This window comes from Homo sapiens, chromosome 10, assembly GCF_000001405.40.
Source record: "Homo sapiens chromosome 10, GRCh38.p14 Primary Assembly".
NCBI lineage: Eukaryota > Metazoa > Chordata > Mammalia > Primates > Hominidae > Homo > Homo sapiens.
This window is the reverse complement of record NC_000010.11, coordinates 35,711,395-35,729,422: the sequence shown is the minus strand read 5'-3', so window position 1 is coordinate 35,729,422 and position 18,028 is coordinate 35,711,395. Positions and strand designations below refer to the sequence as shown.

Sequence of the window (18,028 nt, the reverse complement as noted above, 5' to 3'; positions counted from 1 at the left end):
ATATATATAAAATAAATTATTAAAATTATAATATATAATTATATATTGTATATAATATATAACAATTATATATACAATTGTATATATTACATATAATATATTAATATACATATACTACATATATTATAATACATAATTATATATAATATATAATTGTACATTGTAATTATATATAATTGTATATTGCTTTTTAAATTATATATTAGCAAACTATGTATATATTTTGTATTAGCAAAGTCATATATAATACTCACATATACATAACTGATTATATTATATATAACTAATCATATTATATATTATACATAATTATATATATTATATATTATATATACACATATATAATATATATTATATATAATTGTGTGTGTGTGTGTTTATATATATATAATTTTATTGTGTATTTCAATAGACCATACAGATACAGTTTGGCAAAATGAAAACAAAGAGCAAGAATAAGTGGTTTAATTTTTTGCCTGCTCTATTGTGGAAGGGCTTGGAATCGGAAGACCTTGGTCTGTCACCAGCCAGACATAAAATCCTAGGAAAATCACTTAATCTAAGTTTCCATTTTCTTATAGGTTGACTAAGGCACTGTGAAACTAGATAAATATTTTTCAAACTGTGTGGAGCAGAATTCCAGGGTTTCTGGAAGGTGCCCCAGGAACTGCCTGAAACAGCAAGAGGAGTTGCACCTCTCCCTCTTTCTTCTTTAGGGCTTTGCGTTAAAACATACGAATTTATCTTTAATGAGAGAGCTTGAGAAAGAAAGACATTGCTAGCTGACCTTGAAGGCTACTCTGGTCCTAATGTTCTGTATACTTCTATCAGGGAGCAGACGCATCTCTACTTGTTAGTTCTGTGTTTGTGTAATATCCAAGTAATCATAACAAAAGTGCAAGTTAGCCAACTGACTAGGCTTAGAAATATTTATCATACTGTTACCCAGGGTTTCTCAACCTCATCACCGTTGAAATTCTGGTCTAGTTAACTTTTTGGTGTGGGAATTATCTTACGTGTTATAGAACATTTAGTAGCAACCTGCCTCTACCTACTACATCCCAGTAACACTATCACCAGCATCCAAGTTGTGACACCTGAGCACATCTCCCCAATTACTCTTGCCATGTTTCCCTGCCTCCAATCCCATCCTTCAACCCATTCCCCATGTCAGAAATGTGTCTTCCACAAGGTGACTGAACCTCTCTGCTGCATGAAATCTTTTCGTAACTCTTGATCCCATTTAGGGGAAGTATTACTTTTATTGCATATAAACCCTATTGGGATCTGGTCCTGGCCACATTTCTAACCTCAAATTTCACCACCCCTCAACACAGACCTTCCTGTACTAAAACCCTTCATATAAAATCCTGGAAGTTCTCTGGAATGCATCATATTCTCTCAAGCCTCTCTGTTCCTTCCCCATGTTATTTCCTTTGCCTAGAAGCTCTTTCTTCTGCTAATGCCCATTTATCCTTCAAGACTGAGTTAAAACATTATCTTCTCCAACAAATTTCTTTTTTTCTTCTTCTTCTTTTTTTTTTTTTTTTTTTTTTGAAATGGAGTCTGGCTGTGTCTCCCAGGCTGGAGTGCAGTGGTGTGACCTCTACTCACTGCAACCTCTTCCTCCTGGGTTCAAACAATTCTCCTGCCTCAGCCTCCCGAGTAGCTGGGATTACAGGCACCCACCAACACACCCAGCTCATTTTTGTATTTTTAGTAGAGATAGGGTTTCGCATGTTGGCCAGGCTTGTCTCGAACTCCTGACCTCACGTGATCCACCCGCCTTGGCCTCCCAAACTGCTGGGATTACAGGCGTGAGCCACCGCGTCCGGCCTCTCCCACAAATTTCGTACTGCCCCATCAAGGCTGAATCAGCTGCTCCATCTTCACTACTCACTTACGGTGCTTTCCTCGGCTGCAGCTCTCATCGCAAAGCATTTTAATGACTTGTTTACCTGTCTGTGAGTGTCCTTGGTGCAAAGGCTGTGTCCTGTACGTCCTCAATAAACACGTATTGAATGAATGAATGGTCCCATCCTCCACTGCTCAATTTTACTCTTCAGGAAATGCATTAGTATACTGCAAAAAGAATCAGGTAGAACTTAAAACACAGAATTAGGCTTATATTCGGCTCAAGAAAAGCATCCATGGCAAAGCCAGAATCAAAGGCATTTATTTAATTCCCATACACTGAAGAGAAAAAAATGCCTTTAAAAATAAGTCTTGTGAGCACTTTAATTTTCTGCCCAAGGGAGAAAATATACTCATGAACTGGGATAGCACAGAATAAAGAAAGTGTTCATCTCTAGAATCACAGTAACATCTGCATCATGTTAAAACTTGTATCACGGATTTATAGGGATGGGCTAAACTAAACTGTTGCCACTGAGATTAATGGACCATTTTCTCTAACAATGTGCTCTCAGTACTACTAAAGCCCAAGCAATAAAACCGCATGGTTGGAGCTCCACAAGGAAATTCCTACTGCAGATGGGCAGAACTGTAATCAAGTTCTGAACTGAAATAAACTTCATCATAATGTTCTGTACAATTTCTAAACAGTAGAAGGGTCATTTTGTGATTAATAATAATAGACACTGTATTTTTTACCCTGGGAATGCTCCAAATAGCTATTAATGAACCCAAAGCATTTTCCATTATTATTGAATTGACTGATGTGGGTCACAAAGCAATAGATCAATGCTGAATTAATTCTGAAAGCCAACTTTTTACTGGGGATTAAGGGAAACTGCGCAATCACTGTGCACCTTATGTCATTTTCTTAAAGAAAGACAACAAAAGCAATGGGGTTTCCTACTATTCAAGTTCACCAGCAAAATCAGACCTATTAGGGTCAGTTTGGTGTGCACTGGAATTCTCATAGGCAAATAGCTGCTTCTAGGATATGCTCATGATCAGAAGACACAGTAACATTTAACATTAGCAGTCAAGTGAGTTGCAAAATAAACTATTTCAGTTTAAGCAGCTACTTCAAATGACAATGAAATAACCCACAATGCACAATGGACATGCAATCAATTGGGAGGTGGTAAATAACAAACATGTTACTTTTTTTACATGAAACATACAAGTATCAAATATTCCTGGTAAATAATTTGAAAACTGACAAAAGCCTCTGACTCATTTCAGCTCCATTTCCAGTATGTATTTTCTTATAATTGCAAATAGAAAAATCTCAATAATAAACTGTGTTTATCATCATTGCTATAAAGGAATATCTGAGACTGGGTAATTCATAAAGAGGTTTATTTGGCCCGTGGTTCTGCCGACTGTACAAGAAGCATGCTGCTGGCACCTGCCTCTGGTGAGGCCTCAGGAAGCTTCCACTCATGGTGGAAGGTGAAGGGGGGACAGGCACATCATATGGTTAAAGGGAACAGGAGAGAGACACAATTGTTCAGAGAAAGAAAAGAAGAAAGAGCAACTGCCCTGTAACTCTTCCTTAAGGGAAAGAAAGCCTTTCCCAGAGATCTCCCAGTGGACTTACTTCTAAGTGTCATTTTCCACATTGGTTCAAGACCTTCATTAAACCAGGCCTTAGAAAAATTAATCAGATTAGCTCAGATTTCTTTTCTGAGGCTACACTGAGTGGTGAGGGGTCAGCCTCAATGACAACAGCAGACAAAACGTGGCTTCCCCCTTCCAGCATCTCAATGAAGAGAGCTTGAACCCCTAGGACAGGACAGATCCACAGACGGAAGGAACTGGGTCCCTAAATCACCACGTGGTGCAAATGTCCCTGCTGGCAACAAACATCTACATTGGATCATTTTGTGAGCGAGAAACTTCTAGGGTATTAAGCTACTGAATCAACCGTAGTTATTTGTTGCAGCACCTAAGGCTAGGGTGTTTATAAGGGTTTCATTTTTTGTTTGTTTTTTTTAGAGACAGCATCTCATTCTGTTTTCCAGGCTGGAGCGCAGTGGCACGGTCATAGCTCACTGCAGCCTCAAACTCCTGAGCTCAAGTAATTCTTCTGCCTCAGCCTCCTAAGTAGCTAGGACTAAAGGTGCGCACCATCACACCCACCTAATTTTTAAATTTTATTTTTAGATACAGGGTTTCACTATGTTGTCCAGGTTGTACTCAAACTCGTGGACTCAAGCGATCCTCCCACCTTGGCCTCCCAAATTGCTGGGATTGCAGGGATGAGCCACCACATCCAGCCTTTATGAGGATTTTTGAAACAATGCAAATTTATTGAGAATAACTGGATTCATATTCAGGAATCCAGGTAACATAAAATGCACTGTATGTCAGTTATAGTCATTGTATCCCAAAGAATTCATACTGGGTGTTGACATGTGTCTCCAGTTCTCCTCGGGAAAGAGCTTGTGAAATCCCCTGAGTGTGACCAAGCACTGGTTCCATGTCCCGTGGCCATTCTGGAATATCTGACTCTCCTTTTTTTGGTTGTTTATTTTTGTTTTTTTGTTTTTGTTTTGAGACAGAGTCTCGCTTGTTGCCCAGGCTGGAGTACAGTGGGGAAATCTCGGCTCACTGCAAATTCCACCTCCTGGGTTCAGGTGGTTCTCCTGCCTCAGTCTCCCGAGTAGCTGGGATTATAGGCATGCACCATAACCACCAGCTAATTTTTGTATTTTTAGTAAAGGTGGGGTTCACCATGTTGGCCAGGCTGGTCTTGACCTCCTGACCTCAAGTGATCTGTCGGCCCCGGCCTTGGCCTCCCAAAGTGCTGGGATTACAGGTGTGAGCCACCACACCCAGCCCAGAATATGTGCCTCTTGATTCAAGGAGCTCCCTGTGTGCTTTGCTTGATGGCTGCATTTTGTGTATGGATTTCTACCAAAGTGCCTGCTCTCTCTCTCTCCTTTTTTTTTTTTTTTGGAGACAGGATCTTGCTCTGTCACTTAGGCAGGAATACAGTGGCACAATCACATAGCTCACTGCAGCCTCGACTTTGCGGGCTCAAGTGGTCCTCCCACCTTAGCCACCCAAGTAGCTGGGACTACAAGCATGTGCCACCACACCCGGCTTAGTTTTTTAATTTTTTTCTAGAGACAGGGTCTCACTATGTTGCCCAGGCTGGTCTCAAACTCCTGGACTCAAGTGATCCACCCACCTCAGCCTCCTAAAGGGCTGGGATGACAGGCGTGAGCCATAGCACCTGACCTGCTTTCCTCTAGTACCCTTGCCAAATTCTGACCAGGAGTCCACATGGCTGCAGTTACTGTCTCTCTAACAGGGTGACGTAATGTGGATGCAGGCATGATCCGTCTATCTCATCAGCGTCTGCCCTGTGGTAACTGGCGAGGGACAGAGAGGGGAGCAGAGCTGGTGGGGACCAGGGTAGGGGATGGTTAACATCATTTTATGGAGAAGATGAGCTTCTTGCTTAAAGTTGGAAACTAAAACTGCTTCTCCAATTTTTGCAGCATTGACTGTTTAACACTATCAAGCATTCTTCCTGCAGCAGTCATTTGAGATGGTTATTATTTATTCACCCAGCATTGTCTAATTTATAGTTGCATGAAAAAATGCATTTTTTAATATCCTAGGATATATGGAGATTAAAGTTTGGGTAAGGCCAAAATATGGAGTTTGGAGAACACACTTCTTGAAAATCGAATTAAAGCATTCAAGGACATTTTCCTCAGTCTTAGTGAGACAATATTCCAAAAAGAATAGGCACAGAAAGGGTTTTTAACCTTTCAAAAGCACTGGAGTAAATGAAAATTCTTCAAAGCAAAATGAATATATGACTCCCTTCTTGATTCTATTCCTGTATCAAAACCAAGGGTTGGAGGGGAGTGGAAGGGGAGAGGTTTGGAATGCACCAATTTTGATTCAATTGGTTGAGAAGGGTTTTGTGAAATAAGTGGAGTTTTCGGAGTTTAGGTAAATGACACCAGAGAAAAAATTGAGCACACCGAGGTTGAAGGCAGTGACTGGAGAGTAAGATGTCCTGACCCAGGCAAAGCTCCGAGATGAAACAGAATGAATAAATGGAAAAGTTCATCTGATCTTCTCTCATCCATTCAATCAGAAACTTGGATTCAGAGCTAGACACAAACACCTTTTTTTCTGCGTCTACAAAATCTGTCTTGTGCCAAAATCCTGACTCGCACCATGATTTGCCACAAAATGTTTATCTCTCTAGCAACAAAATATAGCAACAAGATAGATGAACAAGGCAGATTTTCTACTAAGCTGTCGTCATTCAGCTAGTTCATACTCCTCTCCTAAAGTTGACTTAGAAGATGATAGTTGCATTCATTTGTGAAAATTGAATAAGGGAAATTTAGAGGGGGGGAAAAAGGCAGAGAATTTTGTTTGCTTTGATTCCAAGAGGAACCAGGCAGAGAAAAAAAATTAATTTGTACCAAAAACATAAGTTCGCCAGAAGAACAAAATTCACTATCTAAAGCAACTCACTCCCCCAGAAGTTTCCCTCATTTGCCATAATTATCCTGCTTAAGGACTTGAAGAGTATGTCATCATGGGATGCGAGAAAGAAGCTTGCAAGGTTTCTATGTCAACCACCTTATCTTACAGATAAGGAACCAAAGGTCCAGAGAAAACCTGTGACTTTCCCAAGATTCAGTCAGGGATTCTGAAGCGCCTAAGCCAGGCTTGTAACTCAGGGTATTCCCACTGCAGGAAACTTTGCCCTCGTGGAAAGATATTCCCCAGTCACAAAAAAATAGCCTCTTGTCATCGCTAGGGCATTTCTTAAAGAATGCACTTCTAACTAGGGGAAAGAATAAGCAGGGTTATATGCATTTGAACAAGTTTTCTGAAAGATACTTGCTTTTTCTGGATAAAGCCTGGCCCTCGGTTCACTCGTTAGGAATTTAATTAGTAAATCTACCTCTGAAAACACCATTCAGCTCTCTTAAGCAAAATAAATGCAAATGTGCACCAAGTTTCATTTTTGTCTCATGAAATGAAGCATATTCTCCCAGTCTGTCAGAAGAATGTATGTGCTCTGGGAGGCTGAGGTGGGAGGATAGCTTGAGCTTTGGACGTCAAAGCTCCAGTGAGCCGGGATTGCACCACTGCTCTCCTGCTTGGGAGACAGAGCAGGATCCTGTCTCAAAAAAAAAAAAAAAGAAAAGAAAGAAAGAAAGAAAAGAAAAAGAATTTGGAAGTCTGATAAAGATGGAAATAATAAACACTGGGGATTCGAAAAGTGAAGAGGGTGGGAAGGGGAAAGGGTTGAAAAATTACCTGTTGGGTACAATATTCACTGTTTGAGAGACGAGTTCACTAGCAGCCCAGTTTTCACCATATGCAATATACCCATGTAACAAGTATGTACATGTGTTCCCAGAATCTAAATAAAATTACATTTTAAAAGCTAGATTAAAAAGAAAGAATTTGTGGCCAGGCGTGGTGGCTGACATCTGTAATCCCAGCACTTTGGGAGGCCAAGGCGGATGGATCACTTGAGGTCAGGCGTTCAAGACCAGCCTGGCCAACATAGTGAAACCCCATCTCTACTAAAACTACAAAAATTAGCTGGGCGTGGTGGCACACACCTGTAATCCCAGCCACTTGCGTGGCTGAGGCACGAGAATTGCTTGAACCCAGGAGGCGGAGGTTGCAGTGAGCTAAGATCACGCCACTGCACTCCAGCCTGGGTGGCATAGAGAGACTCAAGAAATAAAGAAAGAAAGAAGGAAGGAAGGGAGGAAGGGAGGCAGGAGGGAAGGAAGGAAAGAAGGAAGGAAGGAAGGAAGGAAGAGAATTTGTGAAATCTGAACCACTCCCTTCAGAGATCATTGAGATGTCATAAATGGGACCTATCCATTAATTCCATTGTGTCTCTAATGCCATTGGTAATGTTATATGCACAAAAGTTATGGTCCATGGCATAAAACTGCCTTTCATTTTCTACTTCTACATAGTTATTAAACGTGTAGCCTAACAACATGCAAATTAGCAATGGTGAGTGCAGGGAGGGGAAACATGGTTAGAAATTCTGCAAAACTCATGGAGAAGGAAAAAAAAGAAAAGGCTTATTTTAATAGTGTTTACATATTGGAATTTGCTGTATCTACTGAACAAATATTTATGAAAACATAATCAAGACTTTCAAACTTCCTGCTTCGTCTTTAACATTCACTTCCAATATTTTCATAAAGTTTAGCACTACACTCACTTTTCTACCTTGGCTCTTATTTTTAAACCATCTGAATTTACATAAAGCAAAATCAGATTAATATTGGCAAATTTTTATATTTGTGAGTTAAAATAACAAAAATCACTATTTCAATAAAAGCTGCAAAAGGCAGGTATTGTGTGGACTTCATTATGGAAATATTCTAAAGCAAGGCAAAGATTTACAAAAGATAATATTAGCAACAGAATGCATCTGCCATCTCTTTCTACTCCAGAAAGATTAATAATAGACCTGTGATCATAGAGAGACTTTAGGGTTTTGTTTTAAACACTATAATTCCTTCCCAACTGCTGTCAAAAATATACTGTTCTCTTCCTATATTCACTTCTCTACTCTACTGCTTGTCTTTTTCTCTGCACCAGCAAAAGAATATTATTATTAATAAGGGAAGAAGAAATTAATGGAAATTGAGAATGAAAGAGGGAAAGAAGGAAGAAGAGGGGAAACCCTAAAACTAAAGGACTCTGTATAATTAGCCTTCAACCTTCCATTTAATTTGCTCATCTTTTGTGACAGTGAGTGGCCCATCATCCTATGCAGTCACCCTAAAACAATCATTTTGTGATTGCTGCGTTAATAGGTGATCTTGACTGACCATGTAAATTGGCCCTAGAAACACATCTACTGAGCTAAAAAGAGTTCTGGGCTTATGTACGTATGAGTCCATAAGGAATACTCAGTTCCACTTGGCAACATTAAATGGAAAAACAAAATTATTAAAAAGGTCAGCAATCAGGCAAATAAACATCAGGAATTTTGACTTTTCTAGCCAACCACTTAACTTATTCCCTCCCTTCATAAATACAGAAATTTCATGTAAAATAAGCAGTCAGCTTGGCCCTTGGAGACATTGTTTCTTGAGGAGTACTTTGGTACCAACTACATATGAAATATTTTTGCAGTCAGAAGGTTAACAAACTGTACCTCAGGATCCTCCTTTTTCTCTAGATTTAATGTTCTGCATGTTTAATTTTTACATTAATCCCATTTATTGAGTACTCAGGTCCAGCCTTTACTCCTTCTCTCTGGGGATTATTTTTAGCCTTCTCCTCTCACTACCTATACCAGTGTTCTCGATCAGAGTAGTTTTGCACCCCAGGAGACATTTGGCAATGTCTGGAGACATTTTTGATTGTCACAACTGTGGGGGAGGGTGCTGCTGAGATCTAAGGGATAGAGACCAGGAATGCTGCTCTACAGCCTATAATACATCCTATCCTATCCTATCCTATCCTATGTCTTGTAATACACCCTATCCTATCACATATCACATCCTATAGTATACCTTATAATATCATACCACATCCTATAATATATCCTATAATGTCATATTATATCATATCGATCCTATAATACATCCCATTCTATCATATCTTTTTACATCCTATAACACATCCTATTCTATCATGTCTTATAGTATCATATTGTATCCTATATTTTATATCATATGATATCGTATCACATCCTATAATACATTCTATAATATCATGCCGTATCATCTCCTATAATATATCCCCTAATACATGACAGCTCCACAACAGAGAATTATCTGGCCCAAAATGTCAATAGCACCAATGCTGAGACACCTGACTCATATGGCATTGTTTATCCAGTGTTTGAGACAGGTAAATGGGATGGGAAATCCTACCTTGGCTTTCCCAGCAGCCACTCAAATGCAGACTAGATGTGTATCTTCCTTTTCATCAGCTTATAGAGGGAACTTAAACCCATGAGACTGGATGACTTCTCCTGGAACACGAGTATAGATCATATTTTTAAAATTGTTTAAGAGGTCCAAGGACTGTGACCTGAGTTCTTCCAACATGTAGGGGCTGAAGAGGGGAGGCAGAACCAGCAAAGGTGTTAAGAAGGGGAGGCCAGACGGGCGGGAGGAGAACCAGGGCCAGGGTGTCCTAGAAGCCAGTGTTTCAGCAGAGTCAACGAAACCAATGCCCAGTAAGTCAGCAAGGCAGGGCTGGATTGGCAGCCAGTGGAGCCCACGGTGACTTTGGTAAGAGCTGTTCTGTGAGGCAGCAGTAACAGAAGCCTGGTTGGAAAATATTCAAGAGAGAACCAAGGAGAGAACTGGAAGGCACATAGACAACTCTGTCAAAAAGAATGCCCCTAGGTGCCTCCAGCTTCTATTCCCCAAGTTCTCTTTGCTTCCCCTTTGTGATATTAGAAGACGCTTTCTCTCCATTGGGTATTTCAGGTGTATCTCCCATAGACAGCATCTTTGAATTGGCCTGACACTTTAAGCAGCTCTTCCCTATTGCTGCAAAGAAAAAGGTATTTTTTTAAGTCCTGCTATGACCTCATACTTTGGAAAATCGCTCCAGATTCTCTATCAACCTTCATGCTAAATCCCCTTGCACTGGTCAAGTGACCTCAATATCTATCCCGTGGACACATATCTGTACTCTGCCTCTCTGTCTTGGAGCCACACTTCGTGTGGACTCCCTGCCTACATTTCTGTTTTCATTTTTTATCCTAAATTTTTGTCTCTTGGATTGACCCCCAACTCCTGATTCTACAACCTGTGGGCGAATCCGACCCCATCCCTGTGCCCAGCACAGGCTTCAAGACACCCCAGCCCAAGGCAGCATTTCAAGTTCCTCTACTTCTCATTTTAGATTAATTGTAACTGTTTTTCTCTTAGTTATATCATCTTGCTTTATATTTACTTTTACAGTGTTTGCATTTGTGTGTATGTGTGTTTATAGACTAGATAGTTTGCTTTCCTTCCACAATGGTCCAGAAGGTGGTTGTTCTTTTAATTCTTATGATGGTGACATGGTTTTTCTATGTCCCCACTCAAATCTCAACCTGAATTGTATCTCCAGAACTCCCATGCATTGCGGAGGTAATAGAATTCTATTACCCTCCCCTCGCAGAGGGAGGTAATAGAATCATGGAGGCCTGTCTTTCCTGTGCTATTCTCATGATAGTGAATAAGGCTCACGAGATCTGATGGGTTTATCAGGGGTTTCTGCTTTTGCTTCTCTCATTTTCCTCTTGCTGCCACTATGTAAGAATTGCCTTTCATCTCCTGCCATGGTTCTGCGGCCTCTCCAGCCATGTGGAACTGTAAGTCCAATTAAATCTCTTTTTGTTCCCAGTTTCAGGTATGTCATTATCAGCAACATGAAAACGAACTAATACAGATGGCAAACAAGTTTTCCAAGGTCCTAAACATGTGTTTAATTATCAACAGCAATGACAAAGCAATATTTTTTTCTCTTTATAGAAGATAAGAAACTTGGAACTTTTGACTCACTCATCATCCATCACAACTTTTATCAATGTCATTTGGGTGTATAAAGGCCATATTTTATGAAATGTAGACCATCTCTTTATAATATCTTTGTATGTAAAACTCTTATCAGGAATTAGCTATAACAGTTCACCTTACAATCCTTTCCAAATCAAGTTCTTAATTTTCTTTTATTTCTCATTGCTCTAGAAAATGTTTTTGACCAGTGCACCTAAGAAAGGTTGTGGATATTTCCTGATTCCTGGAGCTTTTTCATTGAAATTTTTACTGAGATAACTGTAGAGTCACATGCAGTTTTAAGAAATAATACAAGCCGGGTGCAGTGGCTCATGCCTGTAATCCTAGCGCTTTGGGAGGCTGAGGCAGGTGGATGACCTGAGGTCAAGAGTTCAAGACCAGCCTGGCCAACACGGCAAAATCCCATCTCTACTAAAAATACAAAAATTAGCCAGGCCTGGTGGTGGGTGCCTATAATCCCAGCTACTCAGGAGGCTGAGGCAGGAGAATCACTTGAACCCAGGAGGCAGAGGTTGCAGTGAGCCAAGATCATGCCACTACACTCCAGCGTGGGCAACGGAGCAAAAACTCTGTCTCAAAGAGAAAAAGAAAAGAAAGAAATAATACAAAGTAATCCTGTATTATCTGTTTCCCCCAGTGGCAAGATTTTGCAAAAATTATACCACAATATCACCACCACGATAATTATGTTGATACAATCCACCAGTTTTATTCAAATTTTCTTAGTTTTCCTTGCACCCCTGTGTTGGGGGGATGTAAGCACATGCACACTCTATACAATTTTATCAGATGTTTAGATTTGTGTAGCCCCCACCACGATCAAAATATTGAAAAGCTCAATCACTGCAAGAATAATTTGTGTCACCTTTTTATAATCACCAAAAGAGAAAGGTATTTGTGGTTTTAATTTGCATTTTCCTGATGGCTAATCTCCCTCCACACCCTGTGTGGTAGTTAATTTGATGTGTCAGCTTGACTGGATGGCAGGCTGCTCAGCTGTCTGGTTAAACATTATTTCTGGGTGTGTCTGTGAGGGTGTTTCCAGAAGAGATGAGCATTTGAAGTAGACTAAGTAAAGCTGATTGACCTCCCCAATGTAGGTGGACATCATCCAATAGGCTGAGGGCCTGAATAGCACAAAAATGTGGAGAAAGAGTATTCCCTTGCCCTTTGCCTGAACTGGGATGGGACACTGACCTCCTACCTGTGGTGCTTCTGGTCCTCAGGCCTTTAGACCCAGACTGGAATCTATGCCATCGGCTCTCAGAAGCTCAGACTTTTAGGCTGGGCCCTATGGCTCATGCCTGTAATCCCAGCACTTTGGGAAGCCAAGGTGGGTGCATCACTTGAGGTCAGGAGTTTGAGACCAGCCTGGTCAACATGGCGAAACCCCTGTCTCTACAAAAATACAAAAAAATTAGCCTGGCATGCTGGCACATGCCTGTGGTCCCAGCTACTCAAAAGGCTGAGGCAGTAGAATTGATTGAACCCGGGAGGTGGAGGTTGCACAGAGCCAAGATGGTGCCACTGCACTCCAGCCTGGGCAACAGAGAGACTCCGTCTCAAAAAAAAGAAAAAAAAAATGAAGCTTGGAATTTTTTTTTTTTTTGAGACGGAGTCTCGCTCTGTCGCCCAGGCTGGAGTGCAGTGGCGCGATCTTGGCTTACAGCAAGCTCCACCTCCCGTGTTCACGTCATTCTCCTGCCTCAGCCTCACGAGCAGCTGGGACTACAGGCGCCCGCCACCACGCCCAGCTAATTTTTTGTATTTTTAGTAGAGACAGGGTTTCACCCATTAGCCAGGATGGTCTCGATCTCCTGACCTCGTGATCCGCCTGCCTTGGCCTCCCAAAGTGCTGGGATTACAGGCATAAGCCACCACCCCCAGCCAAAGCTAGGACTTTTAACGTACACCAACAGCTTTCTTGGGTTTTCAGCTTGCAGAGAGTAGGGACTAATCAAGTGAGCTATTACCTTATAATAAATTTCTCTCTCTCTCTCTCTTTACCTCTGTGTGTGTGTGTGTGTGTGTGTGCGTGTGTGTGTCTGTCTATCTGTCTGTCTGTCTCTGTATCTCCGGGGATCTCCCCTCTCTTTCTCTCCAACATTCTCTCTCTTTCTCTCTCTCTCTCTCTCTGTGTCTCTGTGTCTCTCTATCCCTCTGTCTCTGTATCTCTGGGGCTCTCCCCTCTCTTTCTCTGTAGCATTCTCTCCCTCCCTCTCTCTGTGTGTGTATGTGTGTGTGTGTGTGTGTGTGTATCTGTGTGTCTGTGTGTTTATTCTGTTTCTTTGGTGAACCCTGACTAATACACTTCGCTCCTAACCCCTGGCATCCACTAATATCTCCATTTCTTAATGTATACATTTTGAAAATGTTATATAAATGGAATCTTAGAATCTTTGGGGATTGGCTTTTTTCACTCAGCATAATTCCCTGAAGACTCATCCACGTTACTGAGTGCATAAATAATGTGCTCCTTTTTATTGCTGAGTAGTATTCCACCATATGGATATAGTACAATTTGTTTAACGATTCATTTGTTGAAGGACATCAGGGCTTTTTCCAGCTTTGGGCTATTACAAATAATGCTGCTATGAACGTTGGTGTACAAGTTTTTATGTGAATATAAGTTTTCATTTCTGGGAGATAAATGCCCAAGAGTGCAATTGCTAGGTCACAGGTAATTACATCTTTAAGATTTTTTTTAAGAAACTGTCAAGCTGTTTTCCAAAATGACAGTAGCATTTTACATTCCCACCAACAATGTATGAGTAACCCAGTTTTCCCACATCTTTGCCAACATTTGACATTGTCACTATTTTTTATTTTAGCCATTCTAATAAATGTGTAGTGATACATCATTGTGGTCTTAATTTGCATTTCCCTGATGGCTAACAGTGTTGGTCATCTTTTTATGGGATTATTTTCCAGCTGTGTATTGATTTTGGTGCAATGTATTTTGCCCATTTTCTAATTGGATTGTCTTGGGTTTTTTACTACTGAGCTTTGAGGGTTCTTTATGTATTCTAGATACTATTCCTTTGTCAGACATGTGGTTTGCAAATATCTTCTGTCAGCCTCCAGTTTGTCTTTTCACCCTCTTCACGTAGACTTTCACAGAGTAAACATTTTTAATTTTGATGCAGCACAACATCAATTTTCCCTTGTATGGATTGTGCTTTTGTTGTGGTATCTATAGGCTCTTTGCCTAGCCCTGGGTTCCAAAGATTGCCTTTGTTGTTCTCTAAAACTCTTAGAGTTTTACCTTTTACATTTAAGTGTGTGATCCATTTTGAGTTAATTTTTGCATAAGGTGTAAGGTTTAGGTCAAGATTTATAATTTGCCTATGATGTCCAATTGCTACTAAACCATGTGTTGGGCTATTGGGTTGCTCCATTTTACAGAAAAGTCTTTCTTTGACATCATTCATGATTCACAAGTTGTTTGTATGCACAAGGCATGCATATTTCAGTTACAGCACAGGTTACAATGCTGTAACAAGGTATTATGTGTTCAGACAAGGCAGAAGTCTATTTCTCTTATATACAAAAGTCCAGAAGAAGCAATCAAGACTTGCTAGGAAACTCGGCAGCACAGAGTGACCCAGGGACCCATGGCCCTTTAGTGTTCAGCCCCACCATCTCCTTGGGTACTAATCTCCTAACTGCCTAGGCTGACATCCAACACCTCACCCACATTCCAATCTGAGGGAACAAACGGAGCACCCACCTGAGCAGCTTCATCTTGAAGAGAATGACTTGAAGTTGCACACATCATTTCTCTCCCATTCCACTAGACTGCACTCAGTCATATGGCCACACCCAAGTCCCAGCAAGCCTGTGAAATGCAGTCTTCAGCTGGGAGGCCATGTACCCAGATAAAAGTTTCTGTCACTGAAAGGAAGAAGGGTAGAATGAATACTGAGAGACAGTTAGCAGTCTCTGCCCCACCAGGTCTCCATATTCCCCTTCAAAGTTCTCTGCAGAGGGTGAAGTATTCTTCTGGTATTTACTGTTTTAATGTTTTCTTATTATTGATGTTAAATTTGTTCTGTTTTACCAGTAAGTCTATCACCCATACATTGACTGCACCCCTGATAACTGCCCTCTGCAACTAATATTTTCTCCCTTATATTTTCGTCCTTTGACTTTGTTCCTTTTTGTTCTCCTAACATTCTTCAGGTTTGCTTTCTGTGTCACTGGTTTGATTTTCCTCTGTTACCAATCTATTTGCTGCCTCCATTGAATTTCTTGTTTCTTCTTTTTCTCAGAGAAATACAGCCACTTCGAACATTCATTTTTTAAAAAGTATAGGTGGATGCTTATTCGATGTTACTTTCATTTATAGGGAGATACCAATTACTGAGTACTTGCTCTAGAAAATGCTGATAGTGATATGAACTATCATTTGATGTCAAGCTCTAATAGAAGTCAAGCTTGATGGTGTCTCAAACTCACAAAGCAACCCTTAGTCCAAAGTCGAAGAAAAAAATAAAGAAAATTAAGTCACTACAAACTGATTTTGCTAGGGGAAAGGAGGCTTTGTTCTTGTCTTTCTTATTTTCTACTATAACTTGGAAGGTAGTTGCTCTGCTGTGAATCCCAGCAGAATGGCCACCTTACAGAGAATGGTTCAGCAGACTCCCTGCTGGAAGCCTTATCTCTTTATGAAACAGATAGATCCCCAAAGGAAGGCCTCCCTGCCGTCCAGGTCTCTGATTTATGTGGCAATCATATTAGAATCAAGCAAGGAGGTCTAATACATAGTTGAAAGCTAGCAAGGTGACACACACCTGTAGTCTCAGCTACTTGGGAAGCTGAGACAGGAGGATCACTTGAGCCCAGGAGTTTGAGACCAGCCTGGGCAGCATAGCAAGACGAAATCTCTACCAAAACAAAAATTGTTTTTAATTAGCCAGGCATGGTGGCACGTGCCTATATTCCCAGCTACTCAAGAGGCTGATGCAAGAGGATCACTTGGACCCAGGAGGTTGAGGCTGCACTGAGCCGTGATCAAGCCACTGCACTCTAGCCTGGGTGTCAGAGCAAGACACTGTCTCTAAATAAATAAGTAAATAAATAATAAAACAAAACAGTTGGGATTCTAAGGCTACTGGTTCACAGAGTTCAAGAAAAGCTGAAGAATTGGACATCCTGAAGTCCACTCAGCTGATTTCCTTGTACTGCTTGGGCCTGGATGAGGACACTTGTACCTTTCCATGGCAGGAGTTATCAGCCAGCCTCGGTGAGCGCCCCTCCTCCTCTTACTTTACAGAAAGCCACAGCTGTCTCTGGAGTAGTGTCATTATTGTGTCTGGTTTTTGTTTGGTTTCGTTTTGTTTTGTTCTTTGCATTCTAAGCCCATTGGTAGATGTTTAGCAGAAATTTCTTTAGGTTTCTGTTAGTGTACATATCAGAGACACAGAGAGAGATAAAGAGAGAGAGAGGCTGGGAGGGATGGAGGAAGAGACAGGAGAACTGGTTATTTTAAAAGGTATTCACAAGTGGGGGAGTTATAGCTAGTTTCTAGGCTGCCCATTTACCCAAATGCCCTGCCCTGCTACTTAAAATGTTTAAGTGTCCCCAAACTGCAGTAAATCAATAGTCACCTATAGTAGAATCAGGAGATGATCTGTTTCCATTGCACTTCCTTCCCAGTCCCCAGGTTTTGCAGTTTCCAGCCCCATTGCTGACTCCAAAACATGCAGGACGCATGCCCTGGGGGCAGCACATCCTGTGTGGCTCACCCATCGGCCAGCATTGTTCCCGGGTTCCGGACTCTAGGCTTAAGGTGGGCGGCAGGCATCCCCTCAGACCCAGGCTGCAATGAAATTCTTCATCTGGCTCTTTACTTAGCCAATGTGGTGTATTTCTCCCCCATAATGTTAAAACCAGGCTCAAGAATGATCCAAAATAAGCAATTTGCTGTCATTAGATATTTCCCTTATGCCACAAAAAGAATTCACACACCATACCTATACCGTCAGGAATCCAGAGACATCTCACATTCAACCCAAACAGCCGGTTGCTGCCCATAAGGGCCGTTCAGCACCTTCGGGTCACTCATGAATTTCTTTAGTTATTCAGGAATTGAGCCGCTTTGAGACCTTTGGGTCTCTGTTATGGCACCGAGCCAAGTATTACGTTACAAGTGTGAAAATTCATCATAGCAATTAGGCAGGGAAGAGAGGTGTCAGGTTCAGGGTTCCTGGAGCAGCGTTGGGTTACCACACATGGATTACACAGAATATTGTAGTCAGCTTAGTGAAGGCCGGATTGGGACCTCCAATGCCTACATTTTAATTTCCGTAGTGGCTTTTAAACCCAAAACTGCCATTCTCTAAACAACAATGACCAAAATCAATACAGTTTTAATACACACTGGAGTCACCTAGACATTCTCTCTGTTGCATTTTATTGAAGGGAATCTGATAGTGGTCATTTTCAATCATGCAAAACATATTCTCAGCTCAAAACACACCAGTCCGAAACGTTTTTAATCCCTTTACAACACAGACAATGCATCTACCTAAGCACATTCTCTTCTTTCACTTCTAGGAAGGCAC

At 41.0% G+C, this 18,028-nt stretch overlaps 1 long non-coding RNA gene across 1 annotated transcript; it reads right to left on the bottom strand.

The window, feature by feature from the left end:
- Positions 1-2,036: 2,036 nt before the first annotated feature.
- On the bottom strand, positions 2,037-15,299 carry LOC107984188 (uncharacterized). The gene is made up of 3 exons (XR_001747289.1): positions 15,193-15,299; positions 9,819-9,919; positions 2,037-2,082 (listed from the first exon to the last, which is right to left on the bottom strand). It is a non-coding gene; the product is annotated as an uncharacterized LOC107984188 (long non-coding RNA).
- Between the last annotated feature and the right edge of the window lie 2,729 nt (positions 15,300-18,028).